General features: G+C 42.2%; 1 protein-coding gene across 1 annotated transcript in view; it reads right to left on the reverse strand.

Annotated features, from left to right (window-relative positions):
- The window catches only part of GNS (glucosamine (N-acetyl)-6-sulfatase), a 45958-nt gene that overhangs the window by 5795 nt on the left and 18363 nt on the right, over positions 1-21800 (reverse strand). The window contains exons 7-13 of the mRNA NM_002076.4: positions 21363-21445; positions 20138-20256; positions 17761-17864; positions 9713-9814; positions 3763-3870; positions 2352-2462; positions 779-939 (exon numbers count right to left, since the gene is read on the reverse strand). Of these exons, the coding sequence (NP_002067.1) occupies positions 779-939; positions 2352-2462; positions 3763-3870; positions 9713-9814; positions 17761-17864; positions 20138-20256; positions 21363-21445 (788 nt within the window). The remainder of the gene's footprint in view (positions 1-778; positions 940-2351; positions 2463-3762; positions 3871-9712; positions 9815-17760; positions 17865-20137; positions 20257-21362; positions 21446-21800) is intronic.

Raw genomic sequence — 21800 nt, forward strand, 5'->3', positions numbered from 1 at the left:
TTAAGTGATAACTTTCCATCAACTTAGGACATCATTCTTCCCTCTCTTACAGTCTGAAGGTAGGAACTAAAATATTCCTTTCCCAGTGAAAGTTTGATTTTTAAACTTCATGATCTTCAAGCAAAAGATAAATGACAAGGTTCCTGCCACCAGCAGCTCAAATGCATGGTGTACTGACACCCAGTGTTACTGCTGAAAAGTTACTAAGAAGGACCGTGTGGGGAACAAATCTGACATAGCAGGTGACAGCTAAACATCCTTTATACCTCCATATCGTGCAATGGGCTTATATATTTCAACATCTGAGTTTACACCTTCTATTTTCATTGTGTGTTTAATATATTAAATTCACCAGCAAACATTCAAGTTTCTGTAGTAGGGGTTTCTGAGAAATGAAATGAAGGCATATACTCTTGCAAGCTCTAGGGAACAGGTGAACAGGGCAGCAGTGGGTCGCAGCTTACTTAAAGAAGCCCCAAGTGTCACCAATGCAAACAAGTGGTACCATGACAATAATCACAGCACGAAAATAACAAGAGCCCCATGTTTGGTGGGGAGCAGGGCTGTACCTCTGGCTAAAGTAACAACTGGCAGTGGAGAACAAAAGTTTCAAAAGCTTGATTTTCCCAGCACAACGGGCTGATGCAATTAGAACACAGTATTCCCTCTAAAGCAGAAGAATCATCATCTCACAGCAAAAAGGGCTCCCTTTGCCTTCAAGAACAGCATGTCTACTAGAAAAAACTTGGCCAAGTAAATGAAGAGAAAGGAAACTTACCCGGGGTCAAAAACCCCTGGAGTGCGACAGGTTGGCCCAGAACAGGACTGTAACATCATTAACCGATAGTTCATCTTTCCTAAAAGCTCTGGGTCTATGGTTTTAGCAATGTTAGTGATCTGGTCTGGGTCTGCAGTCAGATTATAGACTTCTACAAACACCTAGAGGACATGAAAGAATGGAGGAAAGAAAAGAGCAAAGGTTAGCCGTGAAGAAATACTCTTAACGTGACTTATTTCTAAAGGGGAAGGGAGGAGGTAGATTAAAAAAAAAAAAAATCAAGGCCCTGGAGACTCTCAATCTGTTTTCAAGATCCTCAAAGAGCTCACTGCTTCCTTGAGATGAGGGAGCATCTGTTCTGGGGGTTCAGTTGCTTCGGGTCTCTAGCCACATGCTAAAAAGGGGCCCCTGCACACCCTGTGCCTTCAGGCAGAGGCAAGAGAGGGTATGGGGAAGAAATGCATTATCTTCTGTAATTAGAACAGAAAGCAGGAGCCTCCAATGGCAAGGTCTCAGAAACAAGACTTGGCAATAAAGTTACTAAAGTGAGAGCGAATATTTAAAGGTGATTTTTGCCCTAGAATTGTGAAGTTCAAATGAGAATGATATGAAAGTACTCTTGCCTGTGTTATACAAATGTTAAGTTTTCCTATTTTAAAAAGTAATTGTGGATATATTGGGGAAGGACACAATACTAATTATTATTTCTAAAATAAGACAGGTCTAACGCAGTACTTTTCCCTCTATAATCTGTATGCTGTTCTCCAAATTGGAGTCAAATGTGAGGCTAGAAAGATGGTAGGTAATTTTGCCTATAATGGCTTCAGGTAGCTGCCCTCACTCACACAATCACTTATAAAGTAGTTATCAAACTGATAAACATTATGGGGGAGCAGGGAACAGGAACTGAGTTTGAGGAAAGCTCTCTTGCTTGTTGTCCAAAGTGCTTATCAGCTGCAAATGGAGTGGAGAATGAGTCCATTTCTGAGAAACACAGATGGGCATCTGTTCCAGATGGTCAGATGAGGGTTGCCAGATGGGGCAGGTGAGCATATGCTGATAAACAGTAAGAAACCACAAGGGACTAGAGTCCATGGGATCCTTCAGATAATCCATACCAACCTGTGTTGGCCAAAAACCACCTTCTTCCATGGATGGACTCCTGGGCCTCTGACCCCCACTCTAATCTATTACAGCAGCATTGGATTATGCTGTGGTGGGAACAGGAGTTTCCGAATACACCAGGTGCTGGTAAGCTTTCTAGAAAATGCTCCAACCAATCTACCAGGGAAGCTAACAGACAAAGCATTTATCATTCTGAAAACGTGAATTGTGCATTTAAAGTGTATATTTGGGTGGTGGTGGGAGTGGAGAGAACTCAATTCAGAAAGATTACAATTAGAGAAGTGAGACATGGCCTTACAACTGAAGGAAACCTAAAGTGAAGCACAGATAAGAAACACAACCTCTTCCCTAGGGAGCAGCCTTGGAATTGCTCTTATGCCACCAAGTCCAGCCAACAAAGCACCAGCAAGAAAGGAGCGGGGGAAGTGCAGGCAGAAGTCCCTCTTACCTCCTGGTCATCAAACTCGCAATACTGCAAATTCCACAATGCTGACATTGTCCTCACACAGGCATAGGTATTGTTATAAGCATCTTCACATACACAGTCTGGGAAGCATTGCTGTAGGGATATTTCAAAAGTTAAATGAAGACAGTTCTTCCATAGTAACAAATACCTAGTTGCCTAGAAGGGCAATCGGCTTGGCTCATGCCGGACATGCAATTTGACAGCAATTAGAAAACCTTCCATGGGGAAGCCAGTAACTCAAAAACAGATGTGAGGTTTTGTTCCTTTGGCTAACTTGATCAAGGTATATGGGTTGTTCCATTTGTAGACTGTTGCCATCCTTGTCTGCTAAACTCCTGACAATAATTACTTAAAATGGGCACCTGTAAAATGTATGGGTTGGCAAGGAGAAGAAATCAACTCAAATGACTCCTTTCTTTTTTTTTTTTTGCGATGGAGTTTTGCTCTTGTCGTGCAGGCTAGAGTGCAGTCGTGCGATCTCAGCTCACTGCAACCTCCACCTCCCGGGTTCACACGATTATCCTTCCTCAGCCTCCTGAGTAGCACAGGCATGCACCACCACGCCCGGCTAATTTTTGTATTTGTAGTAGAGATGGGGTTTCGGCATGTTGGCTAGGCTGGTCTCGAACTCCTGACTTCAGGTGATCCACCCGCCTTGGCCTCCCAAAGTGCTAGGATTACAGGTGTGAGCCACAGTACCCAGCCCAAATGACTCATTTCTAAGAGCTACTAGGAAATGTCACCCTAAGAAGTTGGAGGAGAAGGCTAAAATGAGTTTTGTGGAGTCATGTGCAAGTAAGTTATTTATGAGTGTTCTTATCACCAGGTACGACTTAAATCTAATTTGTCTACCATATGATCTGTTATTGCACTTTTGGTTGGTTCATTATACTGTAACACTTTGGTGTTAGAAGAATCAATCAACTCCAAGTGGAAGCCTATTTTCCCTTCTCCAAAGTGAGGCCAACATGGCTGTTTCCCTCTTTGTGACCTGCCTGGCTGCCGCCAATGCGAGGCACTCATAATGGCATGGTTACAGGCAGGAACCACATCTCTCTACTGCATGCCTCAGTAACATTATCCCTAATTAAAAAAAAATGGTACTGTTATTGGGAGGGGTAGAAAAACAGGGAAGAGGAATTGATAAGAACACGGGTGGATACATGCACTTGCTACATAAATTGGAAGATTAACAGTGCACATTCTGATGACAGGTCAGCAGCATCATTTCCAAGATCACTGGATTTACCTTTGTCCATCTACTAACCACTCACAGTCAGTGACAAAGGAACAGGACTCAGATGAAAGGTTTCAATATTTGACACATGGCAACCAGCACCTTGCCATGTTGTCAGTGAGAAAGCTGTCTAAGTTGATTCAAGCTATTACTCACAGATACGCCAGGACTCAGGGAAGGGCATGTTGGGTCAGTGACGTTACGGCCTTCTCCTTGGTATTCCACCAGGACATCTGATCGCCAGGTCAAGTTACTGGCACCTCTCTAGAAAGAAGAGCAAGTGGAATTTCTGTGATGCACATAGACTATGATAAAGATCACAAAGTAATTGACTGCTAAAGGGGACCTGGGAGTCAAAAGTAATTGGACTGTTCATTCAGTAACTAAAGGGAATGACTAAAACAGGTACATATGAAAGCTACTGAGCAGTATGTTTGGTAGTTAAGGGCCTTTACAAACGATGGTGAAATGCTTTGAAAATTTAATAGTTCCTTCCCAAGGCTACTTCTGTGAATCAGGTCAGGAATGGAACCTGACAAGGTAGCTAAGCAAGAATCAAAGTCACAGTGCAAGTTGCTGAAAGTCCAGACTAGAATAAATAATACTGTCATATGCTCTATGTAAGAACTGTTTTAAGCTCAGACTAAGAAACTTATAACCTAATAGACACAAGGACAATAAAGAAATATTCCACAGACTTGTGTGCTAAAGACTGTAACAGGTTCAAAGCACCTCTTGATGGTCAGAATGAAGGTATAGTACATTAATTCACTCACTTTTCAATGTACATTCATGGTGTGGAAGGAAAGAAGTGGCAGCATTTGAAAGCAGCAAGTTTAAGACACAAATGGTGAAAGGAGAAAGAATCTAGGAACGGGAGCAAGTTTTAGATTCAAAGAGCATGAATATAGGTTGAACGCAGACCACTTAGATGTGTGGCTTCCTGAAACACAGCTTTCAGACAAGGAAGCAGTGCACAGTGAGGGTGGAGAGGCAGGCTGGTACCACACAGGAAAAGGCCCTGAACATCATGCTGCCCAGGCTTGTCCTATAAAGAACAGCAGGTGATGGGAAATCATAGGAGGTTTTTGAGCAGGGAGGTAACACAATCAAGGCAGTGATTTAGAAAAGTCAGCTTAGTGGCAGAATCTAGAGACAGAAACTGCAGTATTCATAACAGTCAAAAAGTGGAAAGACAGGAAGACCAGGTTAGAAGCTGCTCTTAAAATGGTCAAAGTCTGGTTGGGAGCTTGGAGATGCAGAATCTCAGGTCCTACTCTAGCTCTAATAAGCCAAAGCCTGCATTTAGTAAGAACTCTTGGTGATTTCCACGCATAGTAAAAATCTGAGCAGCACTGCTCTAAAAAAGTGGTTCTTAAAATGTGGTTCCCAGGACAAGCAGCATCACCTGGAAACTTGTCACAAATGCAAATTCTTAGTTCCTAACGTAGGTAGACAGCAACCTGGGTTTTAGCAAGTCCCACAGGCAATTCTGGGGAATGCCTGTTTGAGAATCACTGCTCTAAAGAATGCTAAATGTGGGTGAGTACAGTGGGGAATGGGTAACGGCTTGTGCAAGGCCTTGAATGCCGCAGCCACCTGAAAAGGAGGAGTTAGAGATAGGAATTATTTCCTAACTTGTTGTTCTACAATGAAACTTGAACAATCCTGTGCGGCTCAGGATCTCAGAAATCATGAGTCACTGGAGACTTAAAAAGCTCATGCTGGCTGGGCACGGTGGCTCACGCCTGTAATCCCAGCACTTCGTGAGGCCGAGGTGGGTGGATCACCTGAGGTCAGGAGTTCGAGACTAGCCCGACCAACATGGTGAAACCCCGTCTCTACTAAAAAATACCAAAAAACTAGCTGGGCATGGTGGCACACACCTGTGGTCCCAGCTACTTGGGAGGCTGAGGCAGGATAATTGCTTGAACCCGGACGGCAGAGGTTGTGGTGAGCCGAGATTGCACCACTGCACCCCAGCCTAGGTGACAGAGCGAGACTCTGTCTCGGAAAAAACAAACAAACAAACCTCATGATGCTGCCAAACCTGAGCCATGGAAGCCAGAAGGTGGAATTGAGTGAACTGTCAGAATTGAGTGAACTTCAAAATCCCACCCTTGAATGTCAAAGTGTCCAGAGGAGAAAAGAGCACCTGAGAAGTCTAGATCAGTGGTTCCTGAACTTTGCTGCATATTAAAATCACCAGGGAAACTTGAAAAATCCCAAGGGATTCTATCTCATGCCAATTAAATCAGAATCTCTAGGGGTGAGGCCCAGGCATTAGTATTTTAGTTTCCGAGTGATTCTGATGTCTGACCAAATTTGAGACTCATGGTCTGTAGGAGTTGTTAAACTTTTTTTGTAAAAGGCCACAGAGTAAATACTTAGGCTCCTGGCTATACAATCTCTGTCACATCTACTCAGGTAGCAGGGAAGCAGCCATCAACAATACATAAATGAATGAGTGTGGCTGTATTCTGATATAACTTTATTTACAGAAACGGGGGTGCGCTAGATTTGGCCCACAGGTTGTAGTCTGCCAACTGCTAGTCCAGCAGAACTTTCTGGCTGAAACATTCTCGATCTTTGCTGTTCAATATGATGGCTACTGAGCACATGATGTGCAGCTAGTGCAACCGAAGAACTGAATTTCATTTTTAATTCAAATAGCCACACATGGCTAATTAACTGTTCTAATACATCAGTATTTCATCGGAATAGCCTCCAAAAACAAAACATGAACAAGGAAAAGAACCACATCTTAGGTGGCACTTAGAGAACTGTGCAGAGAAATTATACACAACATAATGATTTTTACCCCTAGAGTGAATCAGTTTTTTTTCTAATTAGAAATAAACTTAATGCCGGGTGCAGTGGCTCATGCCTGTAATCCCAGCACTTTAGGAGGCCAAGGAGGGGGGATCACGAGGTCGGGAGATCGAGACCATCCTGGCTAACACGGTGAAACCCTGACTCTACTAAAAGTACAAAAAATTAGCCGGGCCTGGTGGCAGGTGCCTGTAGTCCCAGCTACTCGGGAGGCTGAGCCAGGAGAATGGCGTGAACCAGGGAGGCGGAGCTTGCAGTGAGCTGAGATCATGCCACTGCACTCCAACCTGGGCGACAGAGCTAGACTCTGTCTCAAAAAAAAAAAAAAAAAAAAAAAAAAGAAATAAACATAATAAGGTACAAAGTATAAGACTTGTATGAAAAGTTAAAAGACGTAAAATTTCCTCTAACTGATCTATAGGTTAAATGCAATTCCAACCAAAAGCCAACATTTTTCAGATAATCTGAAAAGCTGATTCTAAAGTTTATGTATGTGGAAGACACGGGCTAGGATCCCCATGAGGACAATAAGCAGAGAGGTATGCCTATGCAAATTGAGATTTAGTTACACAGCTTTATAAGACAAAATCATATTGGCACAGGGATGGACAGATTCGTGGAGCAAAAAAAGACAACTGAGTATCTATAGAGAAAAAAAAAAAGAAACTGAATCCCTGACTCCTATCTTACAAGAAAATAAATTTTAGATACATCAAGGACTTGGATGTAAGAGGCAGAGCTATAAAACTTTTAGGAGAAAATATAGGAGAATAGCTTTCTGGCTTCAAAGTTTAGAAGCATCTTTATAAATACACAAAGGACACTAAACATTAAAAGAAACAATATATACCTTCAATTCTTGGAGTGCAGTGGTGTGATCTCTGCTCACTACAACCTCCACCTGCTTGGCTCAAGCGATCCTGCTACCTCAGCCTTCCAAGTAGTTGGGACTACAGATGCACACCATCATGCCTGGCTAATTTTCTGTATTTTTTGTAGAGACTGGGTCTTGCCATGTTGCCCAGGCTGGTCTTGAACTCCTGGACTCAAGAGATCAGCCTGCCTTAGCCTCCCAAATTGCTGGGATTACAGGTGTGAGCCACTGCACCTGGCTCCCATATCTTAATACATGGAAAAGACAAGTCATAATAAGGAGACTATGATACGCAAAAATGCAGAGGCATTTCTCAAGGGAAGAAACACAAAAAGGCATAAATGAAAAGTGATTCCCTGATCAATAACACAATAAAAAAAAAAAACTGGGCAAAGGATTGGAATATGAACACATCTCCAAAGAAGCTATACAAATGGCTGACAAACACATGATGAAATGCTAACCACCAATAGTCAGCAGGGAAATACAAATCAAAACCACAATGAGATACTACTTCACACCTACTACAATATAATAATCACAAAGACAGATAATAGCAAGTATTGGCTCCCACCCGTAATCTCAGCACTTTGGGAGGCTGAGGGGGGAGGATATTTTTTTTTTTCTTAAAATCTTGGAAAACAAGGGAGGTTCTCTTGAGCCCAGGAGTTCGAGATCACCCTGAGCAATGTAGGGAGACCTCATTTCTACTATTAAAAAAAAAAAAAAAATTAGCCAGACGTGGTAGCCAGCAACTGCAGTCCTAGCTACTGGGGAGGCTGAGGTGGGAGGATCCTCTGAGCGTAGGAGACTGAGGCTGCAGTGAGCTGTGATTGGCAACACTGCACTCCAGCCTGGGTGACAGCACAAGACCCCATCTCAAAAACAAACAAAACCATTACAACTGCATTATTCATAATAGCCAAAAAGTGGAAACAGCCCAAATATCTGATGAATGGATAAATAAAATGTGATATATTCACACACAGAATGTTATTCGGCAGTAAAACAGAAGAAGGTACTGACACGTTACAATGATATGATCCTTGAAAACACTATGCTCAGTGAAAAAACCAGTTACAAGGGGCCACATATTATGTAATTTCATTTATATGAAAAGTTCAGAACAAACAAATCTATACAGACGTAAAGAAGATTCATGGTGGGAATGGGAGCAACAGATCTAATCAATTCCCTGCACCACAATTTAATCAATTCTCTACTAGATATCTGGATTTTCAGTTTTCTCCTATTAGAGTGACTAATGTGCCTGGGAGTTTAGGGTGATGAAAATGCTCTTAGATTATGATGATGGTTGTACCACTCTGAATACACCAACAACTATTGAATTGGACACTTAAAAAAAAATGATTTATTTATTTATTTTGAGATGGAGTTTCACTCGTTGCCCAGGCTGGAGTGCAATGGCGCAATTTCGGCTCACTGCAATCTCCACCTCCCAGGTTCGAGTGATTCTTCTGCCTCAGCCTCCCGAGTAGCTGGGATTACAGGTGCCCGCCACCATGCCCAGCTTGTTTTTTGTATTTTTAGTAGAGACAGAGGTTCACCATGTTGGCCAGGATGGTCTCGAACCCCTGACTTCAGGTGATCCACCCACCTTTGGCCTCCCAAAGTGCTGGGATTACAGGCGTAAGCCACCGCGCCTGGCCGACACTTTAAATGAGTGAATTGTATGGTATGGGAATTAAGCTGTTAAAAAATAATTCACCTCATTATTAAACAAACAGATGCACAGTAAGACCAAATGCCACTTTTCACTCACCAGACAGGCAAAAGTTAACTTGTCTGACTGTTTTTGACATGTGTTCTCTGAAGTGGTATGTCTTGTTAAACTAAACTCTTGGTAAGTTATACTGATTACACTTGTATGAAAAGTATATGAAGCAGTTTCCAAATTCTCAGACTTCTGAAATCTTGGGTATTTTAAAAATCTTTGCCAGTTCACAGAGAGAGGTCTCCTTCAGTTAAAGCATTTCTGTGATTAGCACTGAAGTAATCTTTTTGCGTTTGTTTTAGCCATTTTTAATTCTTCTGCAAATTGATTAGCCACTTTTTTTGCCCATTTTCCCACTGGGATATTAATCTTTGCTAAGAACTCATGTATTTGGACTAATGACTCTTTTTTATGTATGTTGCAAGTGTGTTCCCAACCTCTCTTTATTTATGGTGGGTGTTCTTAAAGGAGAGCAAAAGAGGGGAGGAAACAACTCTCGATTTCACATGTGGTCTAATTTTTTATTTTAGAAAACTCCTTCCCATCACAAGATTTTCTGCCCCCAAATTTAATAGTATTATTTAATATTTAAATGCTTAAGTCTTTACACAACCCAGAATTTATTGCGGTCTTGGCTCAGGCCTGATTGAGGGCGCTATACTTACCAAAATGGGCAATAAGGACATCCCATCCATCTGTGTCTTATTTAGGTCGTAGCCAGCAATGTCCAAAATAGTAGGACCCAAGTCAATGTTGGCAACCAGCATCTATGAGAATGAGGGAAAAACAATCTAGAACACAGCTGGTCTCATTTTCCTTTTCTACCTATACTAAAGTTCTCTTCCCCCCACCCCGCCCATGAGACAACAGCACTATTACCTTTTATACAGCCCATACTTTGGTCTGTTTCATAGATCCAAATATAACTATAATAACTTCAAACAAAATATAAAGGCTTATAAGGCTTGTATAATAGTATATCCCCCTGGCAAGTTACATATTTATTCTACCCATTCTGTTATTGATCAAAATGTTTTTTGAAAACTCCTTTGGGACTGCTTTGAGTTTGTTGCGAATCATGAGAAAAATGTTGGTCTAATTATTTTATACAAAGTGTCTTACAACTTGATTATTCAGATTAACTAAGTTTGATTTCAAATGAACTCCAGACATTTTGGAAGGCCTCAAAAAAGGAATGCTTCCCATCAGTGAGAATTATTAGCTCTTTTTATAGCTTCTCAAAGGGACAACACTGCCAAAATATGTTTGCAACAGGCTGTGAAGGCTGCAGAAAATTTATTCCAAAAATGTAGCAATAAAAGTTTTTTTAAGAGCAAAAGACTTAGATGTTTTTAAACATTCTAGAAACTAAAGGCATTGTCCTGTATTTATACTTTGACTTATTTCCTTGGTTATTAGACTATTTTCCTTCTGTAAGACAATGCCTCTACAGGGCCTAATCCAGAGTAGCCTAATGGAAATATAAAGGGGACCCCATATGTAATTAAAAATTGTCCAATAACCACATTAATAAAAACAGGTAAAACTGTATATATTTTAACCTCCTATAAAAATATCTGAATATTAATATTTCAACATGTAAACAATATTTTTTAAAAAATCAATGAGATTTAACTTTTTGTGAACCAAGCCTTTGAAATCTGGTATTTCACAATAATAATACATCTCCATTTGGACTATCCACATTTCAAGTGCTCGACAGCCACAAGTGGATAATGCAGGCCTAGAGAGAATGTAAGCATAGAAGTCACTTGGTCACAGGCTAGAAAAATCTTCAAGCACTGAAACAATCCATTGAGCGAAACAAAGAGGAAGTGAGAAAAACTGGGAACTAAAGTTTACTGTGCCAGGCATTTGACATTTATTCTCATTTATTCCTCATCACAGTCCTTGGACACAGTGTTTATAGGTGAAGAAATGAAACACAAATCACTGAAGCAAAGTTATCAGCTTATAACTGGAAAAGCCATTACTTACTGACAGGAAGTAACAGTCTTCAAAACTGTTGAGAACATTTAGATCATCTTAGGAGAGGCCAAACAGGGAGATAAAACAAAACAAAAACACCCCAGCCCTGCCACTTTTAATTTAAAAACAAAACCAAAAGTACAGATATGAAAGGCAAAAAAAAAAAAAAAAAAAAAAAGCTTCAGAATATTATCAGGGGCCAGGTTTCCTGATGGCCAGGACAGCTCTTAGAGGGCAGAATGATAAATATCCTGGCCCTGAATCAATTAGTCTAACTCTGCAGCTGTCAGGTATTACTGCCCAAAGGCAGGCACTTCAGGAGAAAGGCAATCCATATGTTACTCAGTGGGGGAAAAACCTCACACACAAAAAACGATGTCTCCAGGGATGATACAAGACCCACTGTTACAGATAATTTTCCTGGTTCGAAGACCCCCAGGCAAACTGAGCAGCTTGGAAAACAGTCATCAAGTGTGAATGTCAATATGGAAGAGGTCACAGCAGGAAAGGAGGGTCAGAGAGAGATACCATCTCCAGAATGAGATCAAGACAACAAGCCATCTACAGACCCTGAAGTGTGACTAACAGATCTTCAGTGATATCTGTAAAATGAATGAGGTGAAGCCAGTTCCTCAGATACTACTATGATGTCCAAGGCAGTTTTAAAAGAAAAGAGGAAACATAAAAAAACCCAGAGATATAAAATGGTGACTGTCATCTCACCAAAAATTGCAAGAGCCACCACCTGTATAATGGGAGGCTTGTTCCTTTTTTGGTGAGGTGGGGGGAAGCTCTTTTTTGTTTTGTTGTTTTTTGAGACAGGGTCTCATTTTGTCACCCGAGCTGGAGTGCAGTGGCACAATCACAGCTCACTGTGGCCTTGACCTCCCAGACTCAACTGATCCTCCTGCCTCAGCATCCAGAGCAACTGGGACTACAGGTACACACCATGATGCCCAGCTAAATTTTGTATTTTTTTATTTTTCGTAGCAATGCCATGTTGCCTGGGCTGGTCTCAAACTTCTGAATTCAAGTGATCCGCCTGCCCTGGCCTCCCAAAGTGCTGGGATTACAGGCGTGAGCCACTGCACCCAGCCGAGGCTCTTTCTAATGGCATTTTGCTCTCTGGAGATAAAGGGGTAAGTTCCAGTATAAATCCAAAGTCACTAAGATTCAGCACAAGTACCGTAAGCACAAGTCATTCCAGGACTCCTTCTCCCTAGAAATCTATAATGATCACACTCCCCTAAATATAATGGATAAAATGTCTCCTCTTCTAGAATTTTATTTGAATAAGCGGACAGTCTCAAAATTAGCATACTATATCAGGAGATGGGAGACTTCTAGCAAATACCAAGTATGAATGAAGAGTTAAAAAGAATTATACCTACCTCTGGTTTTTATATAACCAAGAATTTGGATGGATTCACCCATCAATGTGATGACTTTGAGAAACACTAGTTTCACAGTATTGCTTTTGTCTAGTATAAACTTAAAAATTCATTTAAGGGCTGGGCACAGTGGCTCTCGCTGGTAATCCCAGCACTTTGGGAGGCCAAGGCAGGAGGATCACTTGAGCTCAGGAGGCCAAGGCTGCAGTGAGCCATGTTTGAGCCACCACATTCCAACCTGGTGAGAGAGCACCTATCTCAAACAAACAAAAAAATCATTTACGGATTGGAACAGAAAAAGCTTTGACAAGACCAAAAATATATCTATTTTTTGAGACAGATTTTTTGCTCTGTTGCCCAGGCTGGAGTGCAATGGTGCGATCTCGGCTCACTGCAATCTCCACCTCCTGGGTTCAAGCAATACTCTTGCTTCAGCCTCCCAAGTAGTTGGGATTACAGGCACCTGCCACCACACCTGGCTAATTTTTTTTTTTTGTTGTTTTTTTTTTTTTTTTGAGACGGAGTCTCACTCTGTCACCCAGGCTGGAGTACAGTAGCACGATCTCAGCTCACTGCAAGCTCTGCCTCCCGGTTTGATGCCATTCTCCTGCCTCAGCCTCCCAAGTAGCTGGGACTACAGGCGCCTGCCACCACGCCCAGCTACTTTTTTTGTATTTTCAGTAGAGACGGGGTTTCACCGTTTTAGCCAGGATGGCCTCGATCTCCTGACCTCGTGATCCGCCTGACTCAGCCTCCCAAAGTGCTGGGATTACAGGTGTGAACCACCGCGCCCAGCCTCTTTTTTTTTGAGATGGAGTCTCACTCTGTTGCCCAGGCTGGAGTGCAGTGGTGTGATCTTGGCTCACTGCAAGCTCCGCCTCCTGGGTTCACACCATTCTCCTGCCTCAGTCTCCCGAGTAACTGGGACTATAGGCGCCCGCCACCACACCTGGCTAATTTTTTGTATTTTTTAGTAGAGACGGGGTTTCACTGTGTTAGCCAGGATGGTCTCGATCTCCTGACCTCCTGATCCGCCTGCCTCGGCCTCCCAAAGTGCTGGCATTACAGGCGTGAGCCACCGCGCCTGGCCTAATTTTTGTATTTTTAGTAGAGACAAGGTTTCACCATGTTGGCCAGGCTGGTTTCAAATTCTTGACCTCAGGTGATCCACACCTGCCTTGGCCTCCCAAAGTGCTAGGATTACAGGCGTGAGCCACCATGCCCAGACAAAAAAATAAATTATTTGATAAATCACTTTCTCAGGTTGAGAATGTTCTTAGGATTTAAGTATATAAATATCCTAATCAAATGAAAGTCCTTAGAAAACCCTGGGGTAGACTGGCTGTGGTGGCTCATGCCTGTAATGAGGGGAGGAGGGCTGATTGCTTGAGCCCAGGTGTTCCAGACCAGCCTGGGCAACATAATGAAACCCCGTCTCTACAAAAACAAACAAACAAACAAAAAACAAAAAACAAAAATTAGCTGGGCATGGTGGTGTGCACCTATAGTCCCAGCTACTCAGGAGGCTGAGGTAGGAGAATCACCTGAGCCTGGGAGGTGGAGGATGCAGTGAGCCAAGATTGTGCCACCACACTCCAGCCTAAGTTACAGAGCAAGACCCTGTCTCAAAAAAAAAAAAAAAAAAAAAAAAAAAAAAATTCCTGGGGCTTAAATCAAAGGGTATCATGCATTGAACCTGCTTATTCTTGCTCTGAAAGAATGACACTTGCATAATTACTGAAAAGAACAAGATGGCAACGGGCTCTCAGAACACATCAGGTTTCCAGACACCCAAACCCTGATGTTGAATTTCTGTAGAGTTATCAAAGAAAAGGCTCCAAACATACCAGAAAGCACCCCAAATCCATTTAGTGAAAAGCACTGTAACTACATGAGAAAGTGCAGAATCCCATATCTTGGTTGCTTCAGCTGGACTTGCCCCTCAGTTCCAGCTTTCCTGACAAGGAAGAAGCTGGGGCATCACCTGGTTCCACCTGATAATGGAGGCTTAACATCCTCTTACTTTTACAAAAGTAGGGGAACCAAGGCTGATTTTGTCCAAAGCCAACAGGTCGTCTTCCTGACTCCCAGTTCAGTTCTATTTCCCTGGGACGGTGCTGTGTCATTCTAGTTTTCCTACTAACCTTTTCCTTTTTAGAATTCCTTTTGCAGAACTTCTACCACCAAATCTAAAGCTAAACTAGTCAGAGGAGAAAACGTCAATAGTCAATCTTTGACATCTACACATATGACCTTGTCCCATTTCTCCCACACAGCTTAAGTCCACCAGTCAGTTAAATGTGCACTGATCTGGCTGTCAAGGCTGCTGACAGCTCAGCTCATTATGCCCAACTCACAAGCCTGTGCCACTCACACAGAACAGCTGGCACTGAGACAACTATGCTGCCAACACATGATGCATCACCCATCGTCTCCGACATTCTTTGTGCCAGGGGAAAGCTGGGGCATTTCATGCTTCTCAAATTACACCTGTCAATGCAGCAATGTAAATTCTGAGAATGCACAGACTTAATTTTCAGTCCCTGATCTGCCACTTACTTTGCGACCTTGGCAAAATCCATTCAACCAATGTGGATGTTCCCCAGTGTATGTTAGGGGCTGGATATTTTAAGTTTAGATAGTTCCTCTTTTCTAGGACATCCTAGACTGAAAAAGACAAACTTAATAGGGTGTGACAAGTGTGAGGCCAGCTGGGAACATATAGGAAGGGGCATCTACCCCATGTGGGAGCAGGATTATGAAGCGACTTCCCAGAGGGAGCGGTAAACCAAAGCCCTAAAGGACAATTAACTTGACTAGCTGAAGAAGGCGCGAGATGGGCATTCCAGAAGGAAGGAGTAGTCACTTGTACAAAAGCCAGGAGGTGACAGAGAAGGTCCGCTTAGGAAGTACAAGGAGTTCAGTACAACTGCTACCTTCTGTCTCTTGAACAAGCCTAGCTTATCCCTACATCTGGGCCTTCGCATTTACCGTCCTGCTCAGGACACTCTTCCCACAGATCTCTGCACAGCTAAATCCTTCTCAACATCCACATCTGCTCAAATGCCAAATGCCTAAGAGGCTTTCACTGACCACTGCAGCTTAAATATCTGGTGCTCCCTGACACAAGGATTTAAGAACTGATCTTGTGACCAGGCATGGTGGCTCGCGCCTGTAATCCCAGCACTTTGGGAGGCCGAGGCAGGCAGATCATGAGGTCAGGAGATCTAGACCATCCTGGCTAACACGGTGAAACCCCATCTCTACTAAAACAAAAACAAAAACAAAAAATTAGCTGGGCATGGTGGCAGGTACCTATAGTCCTAGCTACTAGGGAGGCTGGGCAGGACAATAGCGTGAACCCAGGAGGCGGAGCTTGCAGTGAGCTGAGATCGCACCACTGCACTCCAGCCTGGGTGACAGAGCAAGACTCCATCTCAAAAAAAATGAAAAAACAAAACAAAACTCATCTTGTTTGATTGCTCCTTGCCGTATGCAAGGCTCCTTGGTGTACCGTGCTGGCAAGGAAGATAATAAATACTTGTTGACTGAACTATAATGTAATGGTTAAGTATACAGACTTTGGAGCCAGACTGCCCCAGTTCAAATGCAGGGCTCTGCTACTTTTTGGCTACGTGATCTTCAGCAAACAACTTCTCTGCTTCAGTTTTCCTCATCTGCAAAATAGGGATAACAGTACCTCTATCTCATCAACTGTGAGGATTGAATGAGTTAAATCAGGTAATAAACTTAGAATAGCACCTGTCCCATACTAAACACTCAATAAATGTTAGCTATATTATTGAAATGGCTTCTCAGGAACCAGACTTCATTTAGATTGCTTAGAGAAGGTGAAGTTTCTGATTTTTAACATTTAGATGGCAATGTTAACTTAAAGAAAAAAAGGAACAGTTTTTTCCACAGGCAGCTGGCTGACACATTTCACTATGATCTCATTCAGCCTCCTTCCCATGTGGGCTGAGGTAGCCCTGCTCCTAAAAACAGAACATGGCTGCTGACATGGTCTCCTCAATCAGTTCCAAACACCAACCTCAAGAAAACACTTTTAAGATTTAATGGTCTTCTAAACTTGCTTATCTCCTTTGAAAGAGGAAGCCTGTTTAGAAGGCACTGAAATTTGTAGGGAAAAGTGACTAGCTTTAGGAATGTGGGTCTTCAGAGAAAAACACAAAACGTAATTATGAAGGCCATTTTACCCTTCCAAGAGAATTTTAACAGAATTCCATCAAGAGTGTTTTAAAAGGAAATAAGTGAAAAATAGACATTTAAACAAGTAAACATCAAGCTCCAAAATTAAACTAAAGTACCCAATATACCCAGAAAGTCTGGCCCATTTAAAAACCCACTTTGCAATTTTAGCTTAAAGTGTGTATTTGTTCATCTTCCTTGGTCTCACAGAACTGGGACTGAAACTGAAATTGTGATATCAGGAAGGAGAGAAGACATAGCTGGTGGAGGCTGTCAATTCTTTTCTCCTGAGTGTTGGAGGACAGTATTTTGGATGAAGGTCCTCATGACTGCTAGGAACAAAGTGCCTCAGCATTAGGTACCACGTTTAGAAAAAGACACTGAAACCAAATGGGAAAGACAACAGAACAATGTGGCATATTATGGCAGTTCTAGGAGAGAGAACCAGGAAAGCAACAAAGCATTCATAAGGAAGAGCCCAGCACAGGGAAAGACTAATTCCTAGAAGACATGTTTTTGATAGCCTTATACTCAAAGCAAGGTCAGGCCAGCAGCAGACATCACCCGGGAGCTGATCAGAAATGGAGAAGCAGAATCTGCATTTTAACCAGATCCCAGGGGATTCACACACAGAAAAGCCTGAGGGGCTCTGCTCTACAAGGCAGTGGGCCCCAAACCAGGCTGCCTCTCAGAATCACCTGCAAACTTCAAAAGGAAAAAAGGCAGATGTTGGGTCCCTATTCCAGACCAAGTGAGTCAATCATACTCTTTCTGGATATTGCCCAAGCACGTACCATTTTTCTTCTTCAGTTTCGGAGGGCAATTTTGATGCACATCCTCTGTTGAGAGTCACTGCTCCAGAACAAAGTAAAGATCTAGTCTCAAAAGACAAAGAAAAGCTATGCATTCTAATGAGACATGTATATGTGGGGTGAAAATACAGATACAGAGAGCAGTGGGAAGTTAAGGAAAAAAAAAAGCAATCATTGTTTCCACTTAAAAACTCTTCTGCTGCTCAGCCCTAGTGGGAAGAGGAACCTAACCAATCTTATCTCAGGAGGAAACACCTTATTTTCTCAGGCAAGTGCCTACCTGTCCACAGCACCAGCTTGTCAGGCACCTACCTTGCTTGTCTGATTTGGTTTGATCCCAGGTCCTCGAACCAACAGTGGAACTTTGATATCAAACTCATACAGCTGTCTCTTGTCTATTGGCAAGGAAAACTGTCCTGAAAACAAAACACACAATGTAAAGATGGAGCCAAGACAGGAGCCTTGCTCATGTTATGTTTCACTCATTTAATCCACAGCCAAAACTAAAACAACTTTGTTCTACTGATTCTGGTGTTTTAATAGAAAGCTGAAATTTGCCTGGGTCTCTTGTTACTACAAGGCAGGAAAACAACAAATTCATCTTCTCTAAACAAATGACTAGAAGGGACTCCCTGGCTTATGATAGAACAAAATAAGCAAAAATAATGACAGGAAAGTATTGAAACACAAATACATAAAAAATTATGCATGCTACTCAGCCTCATCACAACTGAATGAAGTTTACTCCAAAAACTGTCAAATGAACAAAAACACCTATCCTGTGTTTCCTGAATAAACTGCATCTCAAAATAACCAAATAACTGATAAGGGGAAGTTCTTCTCTGAGGAATTTCAGCTAATAAATACAAAAGAAAGGACAGGATTACAAAATCAATATTTTGCAGTTTCTGAGGGAATAATGAATTTAGGCAGCAATCATCAATGGAACAACAGAAAAGCTCATAGGAAGAGCTAAGGCTGAAACCACCTGACTCATCAATCAACACCAGCACTCCAAAAACAGTGCAGCCAGATGCCACGGGCCTCATGACATGATGCAACAGGAAGTACACAGCAGCAGGTGAGGATGCACTGTCACCTGAAAATGCAAACTTCTATCAAGTCCCTAATCTAACTACCAATCTATAGGAAATGCTAACTAGAGATGAACAAGTTAAGGCACTATAAGACAGCAGTTAGCCAAATTCAAAATGTGAGACATTCTGATGGACAAAGACCCACTTCTCCCTGTAAATTCGTGGCAAATGACAGAGTTAGGAGATACAAGAACTAAAGGTAGTATGTGGACTTTGCCTGCATCTTTTTTTTTTTTTTTGAGATGGAGTCTCGCTCTGTCACCCACACTGGAGTGCAGTGGCACGATCTTGGCTTACTGCAACCTCTGCCTCCTGGGTTCAAGAGATTCTCCTGCCTCAGCCTCCCGAGTAGCTGAGACTACAGGCATGTGCCACCACACCTGGCTAATTTTTGTATTTTTAGTAGAGAAAGAGTTATGCCATGTTGGCCAGGCTGATCTGGAACTCCTGGCCTCAGGTGATCCACCTGCCTTGGCCTCCCAAAGTGCTGGGATTATAGGTGTGAGCCACTGAGGCTGGTGGTCTGCATCTTGATACATAATAACCAGAGTCAGATGCATAATCCGGTGTTGAATCCTGGAGTCATGTGTATGGGAGTTGCTTCAAAACCTTCTAGTAACAAAAGAAAAACACAGGGAGAGTAGGAAGAATTCAAAAGACTGGCCTCATGCAGCTGAAAATCTAAGCTGGATAATGGAGGTTATTTTACTATTCTCTACTTTGAGTGTTTAAAAATATTCACAGGCCAGGCGTGTGGCTCACGTCTGTACTCCTAGCACTTAGGGAGGCTGAGGTAGGCAGATTACCTGAGGTCAGGAGTTCAAGACCAGTCTGGCCAACATGGCAAAAACCCATCTCTACTAAAAATACAAAAATTGGCCAGGCGTGGTGGCGTGTGCCTGTAGTCCCAGCTACTCGAGAGGTTGAGGCAGGAGAATTGCTTGAATCTGGGAGGCAGAGATTGCTGTGAGCCGAGATCACGCTACTGTACTCCAGCCTGGGTGACAGAGCGAGATTCTGTCCCCCCACCAGCCCCCCAAAAAAATCACAATAATGCATTAAATGCCTAAGCGATCTCCTCCTATGCAAGCAAGTCTCAAGTGAATCCCATTCAAGTGGACATTTATATATGTGGAAAGAAGAAAACATTTGCTTTTAACAACAGAAGGTCCAAGCAGAAAGCATGAAAGTCAAGGACACAGAGCTGACTCATCCTGCAGCTTTTGAAAAAAACAAAAACACCCAAAAAACAAATTCCATGAATGGCAAGAAAGTTTTCCCAAGACAACCTCCTTTTGGTCTTCCTATCTCAAATGCCTTCCATACGGCCTGCCTCCAACCCATCAAGCTCATGCTCTGCTCCCACTCCTAGAACACCATGTCATCTTGCATGTGAAACAGCAAATAATGAAACCTGGTTTCTCCACGTGGGTATGATGTGGTGCTCCAACTGGAGGGGTCCTGAGGGCAAGATCCTCCCTCTGGCATGTCCACAGTTATAAAAAGACTAGAACTCCCTCCCAGGGCTCATTGGGTGAAAAAGGAAAGACATATTCTCAAAGATCACAGCAGTACCTACTCCTGCCTCTGACCTGTGTGATAGCCATTGTCTGAGGTATAGAAGATGTAAGTGTTGTTGAGCTCCCCAGTGAACTCCAGCCTCTTGACCAGTTTCTCCACAAGGTCATCAACTGAGAGGAGAGTTTGCCACCTGGATGTGAACAGAAGGTAGAAATGGGACTTCAGGGGCAATGGCTGAGGTATCACTATCTTGCCAAAAAAAAAAAAAACCAAAAACAAAAACAAAGACACCCCCGTTTAAAAAAAAAAATCCAAAACAACCCCCGTTTAAAAAAAAAAAATTGCAAAACACTCTCCCCCAAAACTCAAATCCCCAATCTCCATTCCCTAGACCTTCCCATTGTAAAAAACAGATTAGAAAATTCCAGAACATAATTAATTCATTCCAAAGTTAATTGTTTCCAAAGAAATAAACTCGTTTTTAAATAACCAGTTAGCTTTACTTTTTATTGGCAATAGTGATGAGAGTAGAGACAATCGGAAGGAAGAGTTGTCCATTCTCAGTACTGTGTATTACAGATTAATTCAGATAGGACTGTGCTACAAAAAAGCTTAAGATGTTTGAACTAGGAGCTGGCAAGCTATGACTCATGGGCCAAAGCTTGCCCACTGTCTGTTTTTATAAAGTTTTATTGGACCACAACCATGCTCATTCATTTACATGTTACCCAGGGCTGCTTTTGTGCTACAACAGCAGAGCTGAGTAGTTGTGACAGAATGTATGACCTGCAAGCCTATTAATATTTACTATCTGCCCCTTTACAGAAAAAGTTTGCTTATCCCTGGTCTACACTAAACACTTCCTAAGAGAAAGTAATGGATTTTTAAAAATTGACTTAAGAGAATTTCTTGAAAATTCCAAATGGCAAAGGCAGATATTTTGATCTTGTCTAAGCTTTTGGGTCATTTGTCACATATGACAATGGGCTCTCTCAACCAAGTCACCTTTTCTTTAAAGCAGGAGAAAAAATTCTACCACATGGTTCAAGTTTGCAAGACTTTTGCCAAGTCCTAAAAATGGGCAGTCTAATTAGTACTGGGGTCCAAATGCCACCTCATTCATTTGAGTGTAAAGGAATCTCTCTGCTTCTGGTGCCCCATCGAAGCCTCTCTCCCACTGACTTGCTTCCCTCTGTTTTTGTTTCAGAGACAACAATGTGGTGTGGTCTCCTCTTCATGAGCTGATTTGCAGGGTCTTTAAAACCACTCAGATTGTTATGTAGCAGCAGCTCTTACCTTTTCCTAAATGCATTATCTAAAAACTGTATTGAAGAATTAGTCATTGGAGTCTTGGCTTGCCTAATTAACCAGTGCTTGTTCTAAAATTTAGAAGAAAAAAAATGTTAACACCAAGTCACCACAGTCAAACAAACTACTGGATTACTACAGTAGATAATAAATAGAACCGTTTCACTCATACTTCAGCAAGAAGGAACTAACTGGAACTTGTTTAAGCAATTTCAGAACTTCTCTCCCTTCCTGTGTTCCTAAAATAGAAATTTCTGTAGATTAACTCAATCTCTCATTCTTCAGCTTCCCAGCACCTCCCAAACCATAAAAGGTCTTGGCTTCTCTGTTGGCAGTATTAAGAGATTTTAGAGGATGTCACTGGGAAACTACTAGCTAAAGCGAGATTACATTTACAACTCTGATCTTATGCCTTTGGTCTACTAC

This window comes from Homo sapiens, chromosome 12 (genome assembly GCF_000001405.40).
Source record: "Homo sapiens chromosome 12, GRCh38.p14 Primary Assembly".
NCBI lineage: Eukaryota > Metazoa > Chordata > Mammalia > Primates > Hominidae > Homo > Homo sapiens.